General features: G+C 37.0%; 1 protein-coding gene across 11 annotated transcripts in view; it reads right to left on the bottom strand.

The window, feature by feature from the left end:
* MORC1 (MORC family CW-type zinc finger 1) overlaps window positions 1–20,383 on the bottom strand; it is a 159,887-nt gene that overhangs the window by 86,042 nt on the left and 53,462 nt on the right. For 7 of the 11 annotated variants that reach the window (XM_005247362.3, XM_011512693.2, XM_011512691.2 and 4 more), the window contains 6 exons: window positions 18,863–18,942; window positions 17,699–17,769; window positions 15,517–15,581; window positions 13,054–13,197; window positions 10,439–10,593; window positions 4,816–4,905 (listed from right to left, as the gene is read on the bottom strand). In XM_005247362.3, the coding sequence (XP_005247419.1) occupies window positions 4,816–4,905; window positions 10,439–10,593; window positions 13,054–13,197; window positions 15,517–15,581; window positions 17,699–17,769; window positions 18,863–18,942 (605 nt within the window). The remainder of the gene's footprint in view (window positions 1–4,815; window positions 4,906–10,438; window positions 10,594–13,053; window positions 13,198–15,516; window positions 15,582–17,698; window positions 17,770–18,862; window positions 18,943–20,383) is intronic. The other 4 variants (NM_014429.4, XM_047447968.1, XM_011512692.2 and 1 more) reach the window with 1 other exon arrangement.

The raw sequence follows: 20,383 nt of genomic DNA on the forward strand, positions 1-20,383 counted from the left end.
GGGAAATACTTGTAATCCCAGCACTTTGGGAGGCTGAGGCGGGCGGATCGCGAGGTCAGGAGATCCAGACCATCCTGGCTAACACAGTGAAACCCCATCTCTACTAAAAATACAAAAAATTAGCCAGGCATGGTGGCGGGCACCTGTAGTCCCAGCTACTTGGGAGGCTGAGGCAGGAGAATGGCGTGAACCCAGGAGGCAGAGCTTGCAGTGAGCCGATATCACGCCACTGCACTCCAGCCTGGGCAACAGAGCGAGACTCCACCTCAAAAAAAAAAAGGAAATACTGCAATAATTTACTGAAAATTTGCCAAAAACCAGTAACTACAAGAGCAGCTGACACATATTTTGCCTCTTAAAAATAAGAGAAATGTGTGGGGCATGGTGGCTCATGCCTGTAATCCCAGCACTTTGGGAAGCTGAGGTGAGCAGCTCATTCAAGGTCAGGAGTTCAAGACCAGCCTGACCAACATGGTGAAACTCTGTCTCTACTAAAACACAAAAAATTAGCCAGGTGTGGTGGCGGGCATCTGTAATCCCAGCTACTTGGGAGGCTTAGGCAGGAGAATTGCTTGAAGCCAGGAGGTGGAGGTTGCAGTGAGCGGAGATCATGCCACTGCACTCCAGCCTAGGCAACAGAGTGAGACTCTGTCTCAAAAAAAAAAAAAAAAGAAAAAGAAATACAACATCCTCTTAGATGTCAGTTTTGTATCTGTTCATAGAACATACAATGACATTCAGGGAATCAGTGAGCCTAGGAGAGACTCAATCAAATTCAATAGTAAACTACCACAGCAAAGCTTTGATGGTCTCCATCAAAATAAGGAGGCCTGAAACAGTTTATAAACTCAAAGCACCAGAAAAATGGTATACCTGGAGAATGTTAAATCAGTTCCCACTTTCAGGTGGTTCTGCATCTAAATAGATGATTATATTCTAAAGATCTCCTGAGATCGAAATTTCATACCTTTTCTCAGGGAACAGTTAAATCACTCTTCCTCCTCTGTTGAATACTGTCCTGTTTGTCATTACCCCTCTCATTTAAAGCTAATGTAACAGCCAGGCATCAGACCCTTCCTAATCTGGTCCAAGGTGGGATCGCTTATCATCTTTGTTCTTAATGAAAGCTCTGGATTAGGGATGACAAACTGGTTTCAATTGATAATGTCAACTCCAATCAGTTGGTAATGATGCCTGGTACACTGTTGAGAAGAACCATGAGGCCAACTGCCGTTTATCAGGAAGAATTGCCATGATGATTTAGTGTGTGGTGCAAGGGTAATTGAGGCCTATTTGCTATCCCTGTTTGTTTTTCACTTCCCAAGGTGGTCTACTTGAAGTGAAAAAAAGCAAGACAAGATATATTCAGTGGTGGTGAAGATGCTACAGTCCTTCTTCCCTTTCTCTTGGCTCCTGGGTATGGTGGCATGCGGTTGTGCTAGTCTCATGTTATGAGTCCAGTCAGTGGCAAAAGTTATGTGGCAGCTGCTGTCAGAACATTTCCACTTCTCCACTCTACTGTAAGCACAGTACGCTCCCCTGCAAAACTCCAGTAGTCTGCAGCTGGCCCAATTCACTCCAAATGTCAGCTTCCTCATTTGACATGGCCATGTAGCATCATTTTCTCTAGTTCCGTATCACTGGTTACCCACCTTCTTAAGTGTGAGGACCTCCGTATGCTGCAAGAAACTTTTAGAACCCCCACCCTCAACCTAAGAAAATATATGATGACAAAAAATAAACAAATTATGAATTTAATAACACTGAGTAATTTTATATTTTACTACCCACAACTACATCTCTATACATATAAAAATCTATAGCATATAGATGTATGAGGCATAACGCCATCTTAGACAATTATTTGTAGACTTAGGAATTCATGGACTCCCTGGTATACTCTGAGATTCCCTAGGGCATTTTGGCTCCCAGTTGGGAACCACATGATGCTGTGCGTGGAGACTAGAAGGGAGAGGGCTACAGGCCTCATTACGGCAAATCTTCAAAAACAACACTGGGGAAAATTATGTTTCTCCTGGTTCTTTCTTCAAGAAGAAATAAATTTGACCTTCTTTTTTTAGGTTATATTTTTATTTAGTCATTGTCACTGCTCTCCTTTGGATATATTCCAGTTTCCCTCTAAAATGTGGAAATCAAAACTAGACATAAAAATCAAGTCCAAAGTGTATTCCTAAGGAATTCTGTGTTATCATGGGCAATAGCCTAGTCAGCTCTGTATGTGTCCCCAATACCTGGGTTAGACTACCTTTCTACTAGAACTCTCCTTACTCAAGATATACATGAAGCCTACTGACTAAACTAATGCTCCTAAAAGCCTAAAGACCCATATTTGATTTTTATTAATACAATGTATGCTTAATTGTCTACATTATTTTATTTTTAATGGATTAGAGGAATATTTTAAAATAAACTTTATTGTGTGTATTTAAAGTATACAACATGTGTTATAGGATACATACAGATAGTAAAAGGGTTACTACAGTGAAATAAATTAATATATCCATTTCACACAGCTACCTATTTTTCTTGTTTTTGTAGCAAGAGCAGCTAAAACCTACTCAGTGTAAGTCCCATATACAGTACTTTTTTTTCTTCAAAGATGCATTGTGAGCTGCTTTATTATAGTGAAATGAACCATTTAGCAAACTGTGAACTTCATAAGCAAGTGTTTAAAACATGATTTTCAAAGACATTCCTTACCATTGTGTTTAAAGCCATAATGGAAAGAGTTTACATGTACACGTTTAAAAGATGAATCTCAGCATATTACTTCAAAGATGCATTGTGAGCTGCTTTATTACAGGGAAGTGAACTGTTTACCAAACCACAAACTCCCATATACAGTACAACTGTATTACCTACAGTCCTCATATTGTACATTAGGTTTCTGATTGCAGTTTTAAATTCAGACTCATTAAATATAACTTACTCTTCTTAAGCAGGCTGATGAGGAGAGTTTTGAGGTCTTCCTTTAGGTATGGCAGGGAAAAATCAAACTATAAGAATCAAATTTTATTGAATTCCAGAAAGAATAAGGGTCCTAAACTTTTTAGTATTTTATTTGCAATACGGCTGAGATCCTCGGAGATATTTTAGCAAAAAACTTCATTGTAGATGTAAAAAATGTCATTATCATGATAATACAGGTACAGTCAGAAAGGAAGCATAAGTGCTTTCAATGGTAGTAATTTCAATTACCAGCTGAAAGCAATGTAAATGAATTAAATCTAAGAATGTGGTTTTTTTTTTCCAACAGTCAATTTGATGAACTCCTGAACCATCTTTTTATTTGCTGGGAGCTGACATGAAGTAATTATTTTAAACAGAGTACATATTTATGTCATGTAAATCAATTAGGCAAAATGTCTATATCATATTTTAATCTTTTAATTGTCTCTTACTCTTTTCACATCAAGCTTTTATCCAAAGCAATTCTTTAGCAGTATAGAGTTCAGTTGCTTCTGTTAAACAGTAAAAATACCAACAAGGGTAACCAAGTAGTAGATGAAAGACAGTTTTTCCTTATAGAAGTATTAGAGCTGATGAAGAAAACATAATAGAATGAGAATATAATTTTTTGAACTCCTAAGGAATCTACGCATTGATCATGACTGCTAATATCATTAAAAGAGAGACAATCAGCCTCACAATGGAAGAACACACTACCACCTATGAAACATCTTGACAAAAAGCCACATCTGAATGGGCAAGCTGCTAGTCTACCAATTTAAATAAAAATGAACACAATGGAAGAACCTGTTGAACTACTCCTAGTAATGCAGTGAGCAAAATCTAGACTGTGTGATAACTATAAGACAACCAATCTGGTTTTCTTACAAATAAACTTAAGGAAGAACAGAGAGGAGGGGAGTGGAAGAGGGAGAGAGTGTGAGACAGCGATAGAGAAAGAACCTTGCAGTTTATGACAGGAGATAATTAGAAATATGAACAACAGACTGGATATTTTATTATATTAAGAAGGTAATAACTTTTAGGTAATGATATTTGTAATGTGGTTTTTAAACAGTACTTACTTTTAGAAATGAATGCTAAAATACTTAGGGATATAATTATACAGGGTCTGAGACTGCCTTCATAATCCAGTTGTGGGGGAATAGTTGGGCTACAGATGAAACCAGTTCACCTACAAGTTGATCACTGAGGCTGGCTGATGGGTTTATAGAGTTTCATTATAATATTCTCTTTAATTCTAATTTTGAAATCTCCCATATGTATTAGTTTGCTAGGGCTGCCGTGAAAAAATACCACAGACTGGGCGGCCTAAACAACAGAAGTTTATTTATTTTCTCACTATTCTGGAGGCTGGAAGCCCAAGATCAAGGTATTGGCAGGCTTGGTTTCTTCTGAGGCTTCCCTACTTTGCTTACAGATGGTCACCTTCTCCCTGTGTCCTCACATGTTTTTTTCTTTGTGTGCACCTATCCCTGGTATGTCTCTTTGTGTATGAATTTCCTCTTCTTATGAGGACACTAGTCAGACTGCATTAGGGCCCACCCAAACGACTCCATTTTAAATTAACTATTTCTTAAAGGCCCTATCTCCAAATACAGCCCGAGCTACTGGGAGCTAGGGCTTCAACTTATGAATTTGAAAGGAATACAATTCAGCCTATAACACCATAATAAATTTAAAAGTAATATAAAATATAATATTGATAATATTTTTAAGTAAAACGGGTACATACATAAAATCTTTAACTTCAAAAACTGAATTAAAAAGATATGAACTGTTTCTCAGACTACATCTGCAAATAAACTTGTCTCATATTCTCACCTTTTAATATTTGCTTCATCACTCGACGTGTATCCTTAGCAAAGCTGTTATATTCATTTTCCTGGTAGTCCCTTTCTGAGATCTTAGAGACTAAATTGCATCATATGGAAAACAAAATTCTGTTGTGAGCAACTAGCTACATCCAGGTACTACAGCATTGTCTATGTTTTAAGGAAAATATTCATGTAACAAATATTATTTCTCACTTTCAAAATTATGCACAAACTGGGTAATTGACAAGGGTTAGGTGATAGCATAATCAGGAAAACATGTCCCAAGGTACCCACTTTTACTCAGTGGAGATCACTGATAGAAGGCCAGGGTCTGATTTTCCTGTCCTATGCAACAGGGTTTACATGAAGTCATAGAGAAAATACTAGCCAGACTTTACGTAAATCTGGGAATATAACACATTAGTTAGAAGTTAGCATTAGATTCCAAAAAAAAGGTCATTACAACCTGAAAGAATGAGGCCTAATAAGGCGATAAACTTTACGAGGGATAAATGTATGATTCTACACTAGGGCTCAAAACCACTTACTGGAAAAAATAAGAAAAGAGAGGTATGGCTTTACAAGAACACATATTAATATTTTTGTTAAAAACTTTAATGGTAAGGGGGACACTGAGGGTCAATAATGTGTTTACGGAGAGTTCACATATTATTAGGTGTACCAATAAGATTCCAACAACTCAAAAGAAAGATGAGGATCCCATTTCAGTCAAGGCTGTTCAGGTTTCATCTGGCACATTTTGTTTCCAGATGATACACTTTAAAATACAATACTAGGACGGTAAATATATTTAATACCATGTCAAATGAAGAATAATTACTATTCTTGAACTTGGAAGTGTTAGTCAAGATTAAACAAAGACTGAAGAGAGACATAATCTTGTCTTCAAATACCTGGGGGGGCTGCCATTTGGAAAAGCTTTAGGCCTATCCTCCTGGGCCCCAAGCAGGAAGAACTCAGGAGACCCAGCTAACCCCTCCCCAACCTTTAGGAATATCACTTCCTCAGGGAGGCCTTCCCCGGCCTACAGACTGTGGGCTCCTGGCCACTGGTTTCTGCAGTTTTCATTCTTCTCTGTTGGGCACTAATCCTATTTCTAATTGTCAAATCGTGTTAGCCTGTGTCTTAGTCCATTCAGTTGCTTTTAACAAAATACTATAGACTAAGTGGCTTATAAATAACACATTTATTTCTCACAGTTCTGGAGACTGGGAAGTCCGAGTTCAAGGCACAGCCAGATTCTGAGTCTGGTGAGGGCTTGCTTCCTGGTTCTTAGATGGCTGTCTCTCACTTGAACATCACATGGAGAAGGGGATAAGGGGTCTCTCTTGGACCTCCTTTATAAATACACTAATGCCAATCACGAAGGCTCTGCTCTCATGATCTCATCACCCCCGTAAAGTCCCAGTTGCTAATACCATCATCCTGGGGGTCAGATTTTCAACACATGAATTTGCAGGAGAGACATAAACATTCAGACCATAGCACCACCCTAGACTGTAAGTTCTCAGAGAAGACAGACCATGTCTGATTTGTTGGTCCTAGAACACTTGTGCCTAGCATAGTTGAATGAAAGAACCCATGAGATATGGATTTGGATTTAATATGAAGATTTATGTATTTTTTTAATAGTGTTGTGCAAATTCATGGGCTGCCTCAAGAGGGAGCAGTTTTCCTTTCACGGGTGGCCTGCATTCAGTCTTAAAACGGCAGTGAGAGTGAGCGGATTAAAGGTGACTAGGCTAAATGAATTTTACCCTCTTTGCCAACTGAAGAACTATGATTTGAATTCTTCTGGGAAACATCAGCTCAATTCTGATCCATTTTGGAAAAGTTTAATAATAAATTTTTCATAATTGCTCCTGTTCAAACCCAAATTTCATTTGTTTCTCCCCACTTTTTATTTATCCTTCTCTCCCTACTCCCCAAAGCTGATGATTAATATTTCTATTTTATTGTAAGGATGTATAAAGCTTCAGAAAACATAGTAGCAGACAGTGAGGTGAAGTCAGACTTAGAGACAAGGAAAATATTTCTGAGATTGTTAGCATCAGCTGGGCCAAAAGTAAATGTAGATTTGATAAATGACACAAAGTCATTACCTCTCCATTTCTCTTTTTGCTGATTCGATTTTTACAAGGACCCAATTTTCCCTAAAAACACATCAGACTTTCAGCAAATATTAAGACTGCATCTTTTATTTACAAGGCAAAAAAATCTACCTAAATACTTTTCATTAAAACTGTGTGCCCTGTAATACTGGTTTTCAGATAGTCAAATATTATATAACTTTGGTTATTCCTGTGGGAGTTAATGGGCAAAGACCTTGAAGGTCATTCTCCTTACAAATTACTAAAACTACCAATTCTGACCTTGATTACTTGATTTAGTTTGATAATGAAGTTTGAGGATGAAGTGAAATATGTGAATAAATACACATGCCTGCTATCCTTCCTCTACTCTCTACCTTCCTTCTAGAGGAACATCTTTTGTGACAGTATCCTCTAGCCCTCTATCAATTCATAGATAACTATGGAATTGGGAAAACAATATGTTATCAAACAATAATAATAAAAACACAAATATATTTATTTCAAACCCTATTATATCTGTTGAAAAGGTTAAGAAACAGGTAGATAGAAACAATTAGGTAGAAGGTGAGAAACAATTAGATAAGGACAGGGAATTAGGTAAGGAGTGGGGGCTAGCAAATGATACCCTGTAGTTGGGAGTACAACTGTTGGGAGGGTACCCACACACCAAGCAAAGGGGCTTCGAGAGAGCTCCACCCACAAAGAGGACTGAGTATGACTCTCCTAAGTGTGACCTAGATGGAAATAATTTTTATGACCTTTAAATCTAATGCCTACCTCTTTCTGAAGACTTAATTCTTTCTTCTAAGGATGAAGACAAGGAACGGATTACAGCGAAGACAAGAGGAGTATGGGGAGGTTCATGATTTTCAAATGCTTAATGTTTTCCTTTTGTACCATGTCATACTAGCAGTTAAAGACCAGAGAGTAGATGTTTGAGTTAAACCTCACTATGTTTATGTTGATATTTATACCTTACACGTTTTCTACAGCTTTAAGCAAACCTTGCCAAACAATGTAATGAGTCTCATGTTTAGCATAACTTCATACATGTCTCTGAAAAAAAAATACATGTGGAAAAAGATATGCCTATCCCAGGAAAAATTACATAGGTATACTCTTCAGAGCAGTGCTTCTCAAATTTGATTGTGAATATAAATCACCTGGAGATCTTGTAAAAATGCAGATTTTAATTCAGTGGGTCTCAGGTGGGGCCTGGGATTCTGCATTTCTAACAAGTTCCAGGTGATGTTGATAATATTAGTGCACAGAACACACTCTGAGTATGTTTTAGACCATGACATGAAAACTCAGCTTCGGCAGGAAATCTGTCCCCTCAACCTCATTTCCCCTTTCATAATTTCCCACTGAGTTCCTACGCTTTTCCGTTTTGCTGGTGAGAAAGTTTTAGGTACGGCAGGATGGATACAAATGGAAAGAAAATATTCTAAAATTACAACTTCAAGTGAAGATTTTAAGTTGACTCAAGGGTAGAGACATATTTTTAATGTACATGAATTACACATACTTCACCCAAATCATTGAATACATGATATTCTATTTCTTGACATAAATGGAGCCCTATGTCTGCCTAATTTAAAAGTAAGTTTATTTACAGACGACCTATAGAATGGGAGAAAATATTCACAAACTATTCCTCTGACAAAGGTCTAATACCCAGAATCTATAAGGAACTTAAAGAAATCAACAAGCAAAAGATAACCCCATTAAAAAGTGAGCAAAGAACACAAACAGATACTTCTCAGAAGAAGACATACATGCAGCCAACAAACATGAAAAAAAATGGTCCACATCACAAATCACCAGAGAAATGCAAATCAAAACCACAATGAAATACCATCTCACACCAGTCAGAATGGCTTTTGTTATAAAGTAAAAAAAAAAAAAAAAAATGTTGGTCAGGCTGTGGAGAGAAAGGGACACTTACACAATGTTGGTGGGAATGTAAATTTGTCTCGCCACTATGGAAACCAGTCTGGAGATTTCTTTAAAAACTAAGATTTCAACTACCATTCAACCCAGCAATCCTATTACTGGGTATATACTCAAAGGAAACTCAGTTGTTCTACCGAAAGGACACATGCACCCACATGTATGTTCATTACAGTGTTATTTCCAATAGCAAAGACACGGAATCAACCCAGGTGTCCAACAACAGTGGACTGGATAAAGAAAATGTGGCACACATATGCCATGGAATACTACACAGCCATAAAAAAGAATGAAATTGTGTCCTTTGCAGCAACATGGATGCAGCTAGAGGCCGTTATCCTAAGCAAACTAATGCAGAAAAAAAAAACCAAATACCACATATTCTCACTTATAAGTGGGAGCTAAACACTGGGTAAACATGAACATAAAGATGGAAACAATAGACACTGAGGAATATAAAAGAGGAGAGGAAGGGAGACAAGGGCTGAAAAACTACCTATTGGGTACTATGCTCAACACCAGGGTGACAAGTTTAGTCATATCCCAAACCTCAGCATCACAAAATATACCTCTGTAACAACCTTGTACATGTACACCTTGATTCTAAAATATATGTTGAAAAACAAAAAGAAGTTTAATTAATACACAGCACATAATCTCATTGTTCAGGTGTCTCTGAGGAGTGAGGTGATCTAAATAAATCACATTTTTCAGATAACTAAAGTTTATCTTTTTAAGTTTCCAGATGTATTTATTTTAGAAATTTTTAATTGAAATCTTTCTGGAATTAACATACTCAAGAATTTTTAACTATGCAAAACAAAGTCTAACATATCTGCCCAGGCGTGGTGGCTCAGGCCTGTAATCCCAGCACTTTGGGAGGCCGAGGAGGGTGGATCACGAGGTCAGGAGTTCAAGACCAGCCTGGCCAAGATGGTAAAACTCTGTCTCTACTAAAAATACAAAAATTAGGCGGGCGTGGTGGCAGGTGCCTGTAATCCCAGCCACTCGGGAGGCTGAGGCAGAGAATTGCTTGAACCAGGGAGATAGAGGTTGCAGTGAGCCGAGATTGCATCACTGCACTCCAGCCTGGGCAACAGAACAAGACTCCATCTCAAAAAAAAAAAAAAAAGTTTAACATATCTACAATTACCCAGGGTCAGTAGTTTTTACTCCATGGTATGACATAACAACATTATAAGAGCTACTAAGGTCTGCATGGGACTATGTGCTCTCACACAGTGGAGTCCCAGTGCCCAGAGCAGGGTTTCTCAGTCTATTTGGAGCAATCTTCTGCTTCCTTCCACCATGGTCAGCTGCCACCTCACTCTGTTCTCTGATTGCCATTCCCTTGCAATTTCTAATCTGCTGCTTTGTTTTTCACGACAGTCTGGGAAAGATTCTGAAATGGGCTCCCTTCTCACTCCTGTTTTTAAAGCAGGAGCTCCCTTTCAGAGTTTTCAGTTGCTGGTAATCTGAATTCAGATAATCATGTCAGCTTAAAGAAATCACAGAAAGTAATCCCTCTGTAAGTATCTCCTACTATGACTATTGAATACTCACTGATGCCGGTGTCCTTACAGTACTGGACCAAGTACTGTCCCATGACTTTTAGTAGATGATTATACTCTTGGACATTGAGAAATTCCTGTTTATTATGGGATGGTTCCATGACCTCCAAGGGTATATTAACAATTCCAACCACGCCTGCGCCAAGTCTGAGAAAATATATGCATATTTAAATTTTGAAAATTTGGCTAAAGAAAAAAATCAAATATATTCTGGTCATTTGAAATCATTTTTTTTTTCAAAAATAAATTCATTCTGTTGATCTGGACCATGTCAAAGTTTAACAAGTTAGCTAATTATGTTATCATAAGTCTGTGGTGATCCCAACATGTTTGGTCCCATAATAAAAAAATCACTTTAGCACAATGTTACAGAGTTAATACGACTCGTTTTACAAATCTATCGCCTTACGTGGAGAGTGAGGGTGGGTGGGAAGGCAAGGCCTTTTGACATTAAAAACCATGGTGCCTTACTGCAATAAAGGGCATGATCTTCTAAATGACAGTGGCCAGAGAACCCCTTTCTTTCTCCGCATTTCATCTAACAGATTGGATTTCTCCTCTTCATTGCAGAGGTCCTTGGGGTGCTCAGTGAATTCTATGAAGGAATCACAGAGTTGGCTTATCCATGAGGATCTCACTGGAAATCTGGTTGGTGACATAACCTGCTTTGGCAAAGAGCATACCACTGTCTAAGCCTTTAGGGCTCCCCACTGCCTTTTGCACGGCACATGTGTCAAAGCCTCACAATTTGGGGTCCCTGCCTATAGTGTTTTCTTACCACTTCACTCTTCCACCTTGCTTTCCTTTCACTATTCATTCTCTAAGTCTAAATTTGGGCTTCATTCTTCTAGAAGGCCTAAATTGACTTCTCCAGTTTGCTCTACTGCCCCTCCTAAATGCTCTTTTTGCACTGGATGCTCACCTCTAACATAACATTCATTCATTCATTCAAGCTCAGCACCAAGCCCTGTTCCAGGAACTAAGAATATGGTGAGAACCAGAAATACAGGTTCCCCCTGGCTTTGAAGTTTCTCTTTTACCGAAGGGTGGCAGGCATGAAGCTAATAAACAGATAAATATACAAGATCATTTCAGATGGTGATAAGTGGGGTGAGGAACATAATGCAGGTGCTGTGATATGTGAAGAGTGACAGGTGGTGGGGAAGGAAATGGACCAGTTTTAATTAGACAGTCAAGGAAGACCTTCCTGTGGAGAATACTTTAGGCTCATGGCTGAATGGCATGTTAGGGCCAGCAGTAAGAAAATCTGAGAACAGAAGATTCAAGGCCAAGGAAATGGCATGTCCCAAGGTCTCAATGCAGAAGTGAGCTTAGGAGGTCTGAGAAACAGGAAATGCAGAGAGGGTAGGGTATTAGTAGGGGGTGAGGTCCCACAGCCAATCAGAGGCCAGATAACTGGAAGCCCATGGCAAGCAGTTCTATTCTGAGTACACTGGGATTTAAGCAAGAAATCCAACTAATCTAGGTTTTATTTATTTATTTATTTTTTGAGACAGAGTCTCGCTCTGTCACCCAGGCTGGAGTGCAGTGGCACAATCTTGGCTCACTGCAAGCTCTGCCTCCCGGGTTCATGCCATTCTCCTGCCTCAGCCTCCCGAGTAGCTGAGACCACAGGTGCCCGCCACCACACCTGGCTAATTTTCTGTATTTCTAGTAGAGACGGGGTTTCACCGTGCTAGCCAGGATGGTCTTGATCTCCTGACCTCGTGATCCGCCCACCTCGGGCTCCCAAAGCGCTGGGATTACAGGCGTGAGCCACTGAGCCCAGCCATAATCTAGGTTTTATAAGATCATTCTTGTTATTTTCATACAATATAAAAAATATGCATTTATATGCTTGTCCTTTTCACTGGACTATACATTCCTTAGCAAAAGGAGCATTTATCAGCAGAGCTTAGTATAGTGCCTGGCATACAATGCTGCACTATAGGTGCTTGTTAAATAAACAATGAATGAATTGCTAATTCCTTGAGAGTGAGGAAGCAAGATAGTAAATGCTCCCTGACCCATTCTATTGGTCATGATTACCTTGTCTGACCCTGTCCTTTTCTGTGCGTCTCTTCAGGACTCTACATCATTGATGAAAGCAGCTTGAGAAGTTTCAGACCATTGGGAAAGCACAAGAATGTATTACGCTAAAATCCAAATAGGCTAGAGAGTTTTAATAACATATGATCATGAAGCTAACTGGCATGAACTCATACATGTAGGGTTGCTTTACAAGACTATGGATTTTTCTTTTCCTTCTCTTCTAAAATGTATTTAATAAGCTCGTATTATTTTTAAATTGGTAAAGCATTAAAAATTTATGGCAAAGAGGTGGCACAAGGAATGGCCCCACATCAAGTTGTTCAATAAATGCATTGAAAAAAATTTCCCAAAGTGTGCTTTTTCCTTAGAGCATGCATGCAGATTCACTGATACTATCAATGAGGCAGATTAATGCCTGCACTTCAACAGGAAGGGTGAACAGAGACTATGACACTTGCTCCCATTGTGATTAGTCACTCATCTCACTCCACAGACAGAATCTTACTGTAACATCCCTTTCTCTGCTTATATCTCTGAAAGCAAAAACATACTCACAAGGACTTCAGTTTCAACTGTGAGCCCACTTTTTCATGCATTTTGATCAAACGGTTATTACTGTAAATGAACATTCCAGCTTGGCTTCGGTTTTCTACGTTCACTCCATAGAACAGGGAGAGCGTTCTTGCTGTTTTTAATTCTCTAGAGTTACATTTAAAAAGTTTAAAAAGTTGTTTATTAAATAAACATACACAGTTTAGGAAACTGCTAATAATTAAACTAGAAGGTTAACGTCAAAGGCATATATCCAAATATTTTGCAAAACCTGGTAGGCACACTCAGTTGTCTCTGTATAGCCAAGTATTCTGCATAAACGTGATGCCAGTAACTATGCCAGTCAAACAAAGGATTTACTGATTCAAAAACACATCTGCCAATTTAAATTTACAAGAACTAGAAAATGCTAAAAGAGTTCTGAAATATTAACGGGTCGTATAGGTACATTGCAGCATTTTTTACAAAATGATGACTTGGCTATTTTAAATTTTAGGTATTTCTAACAGTAGATGTGATTTCTAAATTTCAGCATGTTCTCAAGTCTCCAGATATCCTACATAGATTGGAATGTGCCAAAAGATATTCTCTGGCTTCCTCTCTAACCCTTTCCAAAATACAAGGTAAATAAGTTATTATAATAAAGCAAGTTTACAAGGGCAACAGAGATGAGCTCCTGTTTTTCTGACTGACCTTCTATATTATGTTTTGTGTGAGTTTTCTATTAAAAGTGTAAAATAGAAATTGAGAAATACCAAAATGTGATAAAAACAGCTATGGTAAGGAGTTATGATATAAACACCTGTAATATCAGAGGCTGCTGGAAGCTATGAAAATGCCTGGATGTGAGAGGCACACCTGGTTTCAAATACAAGCCTGTCTTTGTAATAACCATGTGACCATGGATGGTGCCTCTTAAACTTTCTGTCTCATTTGAAAAATGGGAGTAATACCTACCTAGCCACTTGTGATGTCATAAGAACTAAAAGAAATAATGTTAAATATAAGCCTGGAACAGATTAGGTATATAACAATCATTATTTTCTTTACCCAATCAAGAATGACACCAAAAATAATTCTCCTGCACTTACCCTGTAGCTCCCCTCTCTCCACAAACTTGGCCTTTTGTTTTCAGGCTTATGACCACGTGCTATTATAATTGACATAATATACTTATTGGACTAATTAAATGCATCTATCATTAAAGAACAATGATAAAGTTCTATCAGTCCTTCCATGTGGATATGATATATATATATAGAACATAAGACATGAGTTAATATACTATATATTTATTAAACACATGTATATCTAAGGTTAAATATATAGGAATCAAACTTTTTCTCAAAAATCACTACTCAGTAATGAGATCCCAAAAGGATATTCAACAAAAGTACTGACTGTATAAGGGATACCTAAATAGGGTATTACAGGATACGACATAGTCACTCTACAATATTAAAGGATATACTGATATTCTTCTATTAAAAAAAACCCAGCATTTTGCCATTAAAACAAGTTCATGGCAACTGGCATTATTATTAATGAAGTGTTGATTGGTCACTTTTCAAACATTTCACTGTATGAACCATCTCATACAGTGAACTTGTTTCAAGAAGGTTTTTATTTCTAAAGACCTTAGAGAGGGCTTTGTTTTTAAATTACAATTTCTATGACATTTATTTACATTTTTCTAGTAAATGCATAAGTAACATTTCACATTTATTTATTTTGATAAATGCAAAATTTACATTTAAAATTTAAGTTTTGAGGAAAGTTATGGTTGAATGTCAGTGCATGGTTCACGAAAAATAATGTTAAGAACTAATCATATTTCCCTTAAAAATAGTTTCACAAAGGTATCACAGCTTTCAAAGTCTGATCTTATGTGGGCAGCAGTGATTATTTTAAGTTTAACTTCTTCAGCATTTGAGTTGGAGAGCAAGTTCATCTTACAAATGTAAATATTTGGTTTTGTTAACATATCCTTCCTATTTTCATTTTTAGCGATATATAAGCAATACATTCACGTGAAACATTATTTCCTATCTTAAATTTTAAGCTACTAGACAAAGGGAAGAAACTGGAACCAACTCTCCAGAATTTAAATGGCAAATGACACAGAAGGAAAGTGAGTTATCAGCTGTTCCTCCGGGCAGTTCACTTTCACTTCCTCATCCAGACATTTTCATCTAGCCCAATTAAATGCTGAACTAATTTTTCACTTTTTTTTTGGAAGTTTTAACATTATGTAGACACACGTGTACGTGCAAATATATACTTTATCAATGTTTTACATTGCTTATCTTGGTTGTGGGAACTTGACTATATTAGGTTTCAGATTATAAGATGTCACAAGCTGAAAAAAAATTGTCACAATAACCACTAAATCTGCCTACTTAGAAACCAGAATTTGTTTTAACAGAGTACAGAGGATTCCTGCAAACAGAAAACCTTGTGTCTTACCTTTGTTTCTCTTTAAGATTCTTTTGCTTTGCTTCTACATCTTCCAAAGCTCTCTGTAATACATCCTGGAGAAATGCATTGGTTGGGAGAGAACATAATGCCACTGAATTAACAAAAAGCAAGTTGATATTATCCTATTATCCAAATGTTTCAAGGGTAACAATAGCTCACATTACCTAATGCAATTCTACCATCATAGATTCTCAATACTTGATAAATTATTCAGTTCCAATACTTTAGAAGATAAACCAAATCCTAACCCACTATTCTCTTTTGTACATATCCAGATATCCTCTCTGCCTTTTAGAGAAAGAAAGTTTATTCTCTATAATGACACAACGGCTTTGACAAAAACTACATGAAAACTTGGGTGAGTTATTTAGTGTACCCAGGCTCTGACTTTTGTTTGTGAGAACAATAAATGCTCAATTATGTGACCACGAAGTGTTTTTGCAGGAAAAAAAAAAAAGATAATTGAGAAATTTTGTTAGTAGCCAACAGAAAATATCTCCTTCATATCGAATTCTGGATACCTCTAATATTTCTCAAACTTTCCCTTTATAGGATACCCCATGCCCAGTTACCTTTCTTATTAAACTTTTGATTTGATATACCAACTCATTCACTACTCTAAATCTGGTATGCTCCCTCTAACCAAGCAGAAGAGGAATAATTCATTATTGTTGTTCTCAGGCATAAGAATAGCCTCTTAACATGCTTCATTCACCTGAGGTGAAAGGTGGGTATGTCTTTTGATGTATGGCATACTACTGAATGAACACTATTTTCACTGAATTTCAAGTAAAAGAAAGTGGAAAATGGTTGGCAAGTATTCCATTTAAAATTCATCTTCCCATAAGAATTTAAGACGTCAAAAGTTCAGGTCATTCTGCTTTGCTCTCTTCTCTGCCTTAAAGAAACCAGAGTGCATCAGAGCAACAGGACAAATTGGTCAAGGACTTCCCCACCCTGCCTGGCAGTGCCCCCAGAGCACAGAACAGAGGCAGGGAGAAGAAACAGCAGAAGGCAAAAAGGAAGCAAGGTCCTGACCCATTAGTCTTTTTCTGGACTCTCAAACATACAAAGCAAAGGGAAATGATTTCTTAAAAACAAAATTTTAAAAAGCTTAAACTATTAAAAATCAATGATCAATAACAATAAGATAGGTTTACCCTTAATTTAAAAAAAAATGAAAAAAAAAAACTAAGAGAATTTGGGGCAAGCCATGGATAGAATTAACTTTGGGGCATTACCACGAGCTACTCTTTGATGTCATCCCTTACTCAGGACCTTAGATATGAAAGGTCTTTATCAGACACAGCCTTGGTCCTGGAAAGTCAAATGGCAAAATCACTGAAAGGATTCATATATTCAGTCTGTAGAAGAGGATGAAGAGAAGGTGAAGTAAGGCATTTTACCTCCATATTCCTACTTATCCCTTTGTATGTAAGCAAATAAATATGTTGCTTAATCATTCACCATCATTTAAAGCTTCATACCATATTTTTGGTAAAAGTTAGCAAACTTACATGTCTTGTAGCAATATTCTTTTTCTCTTAGTTGCAATGCATTATAATTAATAATAGTTCTTTTTAACTTATCTTACTCATGGGCATATTGTTAAGAATTACAAAGAATGTTTATGAACTGTGTGGAGAAACTCATAATAAAAGAGCTTTGTAAGCTGGAAGCATTCTTATTAATATTCATAATTACAGTATATAATTCCTAGCACTAGAAAGAAGGATTGCTTGTTAGACCTTTCCTTCCTTTCCCCATTTATTTAGGTCCACAGGGAGCTCTAATTTGAATAGATATTTTCAAGGAGACTCGATAGGCTAGTTTTTTCTTCTGCTGGCTTTTCATTATTTTTTCCCTTTCTCCTGTTACTTTCCTTTCCATTTTAAAGAAATGGGTTGTGATGCTGTTCCCCACCATTTCAAATTCACCCCATGTTCTGTTCATCTTTTCTCTCTGCCTCAGCCTTGCCCCGACTTGCTGAGTTTCCTCTCCTTTCTCTGAACTCATCTATTCTGTTTACCTGAGTTAAAATCAACTTAATCTTCTGAGCTTATCTGTGCTTAAAAGTTTAGGAAGTAGATGATAAGAGACAACTATGCACAGGAAAAAGCAAATGACACAATTTGCCATTTAATAAGACTACTCTCTTTACATGTCGTACCTTGGCAGAAGATAAAGAGGTTCTGTCACACTGGTTTACTTTGATTTGTGCTTCTTTCAATATGGATTCAGCTGGAAGTAGAAGCCAAATAGTTATAACACAGCAAAATTATTTCAAGCAATTTTAAGTGAGTATTTTCTATACATGTAGCATGACCAGTGAAAAAGGCATACAGACCATGATCTGAGAAAACCCTATGTTCCTCTTATAACTTTTACACATGTTAAATTTTCCTTCTATTGGGGTTTCATTTAGGTATGACAATTTACAGGACATAAATATACAAATATAAATTCAGAAGTCATGAGTTTTTAGCTGACAGAAAATGCTTTAAAATCCACAAAATATGGATATAGAGCTACTACTCACTCCCAGATACTAGGGAAGAGAGTTTTGTTCCTGCAGTAGGAGGAGTGAATATGTAGAACATCCTTCTTTTTTTTTTTTTTTTGAGACAGAGTCTCGCTCTATCACCCAGGCTGGAGTGCAGTGGCGCGATCTCAGCTCACTGCAAACTCCCCCTCCCAGGTTCACGCCATTCTCCTGCCTCAGCCTCCTGAGTAGCTGGGACTACAGGCGCCCACCACCACACCCGGCTAACTTTTTGTATTTTTAGTAGAGACAGGGTTTCACCGTGTTAGCCAGGATGGTATCAATCTCCTGACCTCGTGATCCGCCCGCCTTGAGAACATCCTTCTTAAAGCGGATGCAGTGCAGGGATCTAAAATGACCTAACACAGTGCTATGACAAGCAGGGTTTCTTAGTTTATTTTATTTTTTAAAATAGAGACACAGTCTCGCTATGTTGCCCAGGCTGGTCTTGAACTCTTGGCCTCAAGTAATTCTCCCATCTTGTCCTCCCAAAGTGCTTGAATTATAGGTGTGAGCCACCATGCCCAGACAGACAAACAAGGTTTCTAACAAATATCAATCTAGTTTGAAGTGTGTTCAGGATCATACTTATAATAATAATTAATATCATGAGTAAACAAACTCAGAGATGGAAAGAATGTGTTTTGAAGTTCCATAGAGACAGAAACTACATTTAATTAATTGTAGTAGCTCCTACAATGCCTAGAGCAATGTATGTCTCAAAATAAGTGCACAATTAACATTTGCTGAATGACTGAACAACAATGATGTAGGCTACAGGTAATCGCATACCAATCTTTACTGCTTCTTCTGCCTTTTTAACTTCATCTTTAAATGCTCCTTTAAAAGAAGATGTGACATAAAGATACTTTCTGGAAAGAAACAAAAAGAACATAATCAAGTCAGATTATCATTTTAAAATACATAAGACAATATTCTTTAGTAAGACTATATGCTCCAGAGATACATAATTATTAAGAAAGATTCATCGAGTGAGTTGCATCCAGCTGGTAAATTAGCAAACTTTATACCTAAGTGAATTTCCTTGCCTTTCACTACTTAGAAATGTTGTTTTTTTAAGGAAACTTCATGAGAGCGATAAGAAAATCTGCCCACACAAATGTTCACTTAGACATCTAAAATAGGATAATTTTCTTTAAAAAATTCTATGAAGTTGTTCCCTTATCAAAGTTTCTGGTTAATATGCATAGCCCTCTTACTCAGATTATGATCGACACTGGATAAACTACTTCTCCTAGTCCCAAAACAATTATCTCTAACTGCGATGCTGAGAAACACACATTCATGTATCATTTTAAATTACTAAAAGCACATTTTCTGCTTTACTGATAGAGAAACCTGTTTTCAAGGTCCATTGTTTTAGTGATGGCAAAGATGCTCTAGAACAATAAAGGAAAAAAATATACATACATATATATATCCATAAACTCAAAGAGAACAAAGCATAGGTGAGAAAAGCTCTACAGAACCTGAGGTTCTCTGAATACAGTTGAAAGTATGTGCACCTGTTATAGAAAATTCCTGGAACCGGGCTTTTAAACATTGGTTTAAATCATCATAGAGAGAAAAATTCTAGAATAATATTTGGTTTGAGAATCCTCAAAGCTCTGTAAACCCTAAATGTACATCAATAAGAAAACTTAAATAAATCATAGTGCTATGCAATATATTTAACAATGACAAAGTCTCCAAGATTTAACTGTAAGAGAAAATAAGTTGTACATAATTTTATGTTTAAAAAAACCTGTGTGTGTATGCATGCGTGTGTACATATATATAATGTATAGAAAACAATCTGGAAAGATATTTATTAAACTTCTAACAGAGATTCTCCTTTGGGGAACATTATAGATTGCTATAGCACATAATGAATCACAACTGGTAAAAGGGGCTTTTGGTTATTTGATTTTTCCCCCATATCTAATTCTGTATTGTATAAATTTTTATTAATTTTACTATTTTTATGAGGAAAATAGAACCCTTCTCCATCAAGAGAAATAAAAATATGAAGAAACACTAAGTACCTTTCAAGGCTTTGTGCTGCAGAAGTATAGAGCATGACTTAATACAGCATTTTGGGTGACTGGTTTGATCAGAACAACTTGCAGAAATTTAAACTTTCATTGACTTTAATTTTCACACTTAAAACATTTGTTCAAAATACTCTGGCCAAAATCAAATATAGTATTTTAAAATTTAAGTTGAAAAAAAAACACACTTCAAGTAAACTACAGTTCTGAACTTTTATTAACACAGAAAAAATTAGCCCCCAGTTGTAAATCATAACTGCAT

The sequence above is a fragment of the Homo sapiens genome, chromosome 3 (assembly GCF_000001405.40).
Source record: "Homo sapiens chromosome 3, GRCh38.p14 Primary Assembly".
In the NCBI taxonomy this organism is placed as follows: Eukaryota; Metazoa; Chordata; class Mammalia; order Primates; family Hominidae; genus Homo; species Homo sapiens.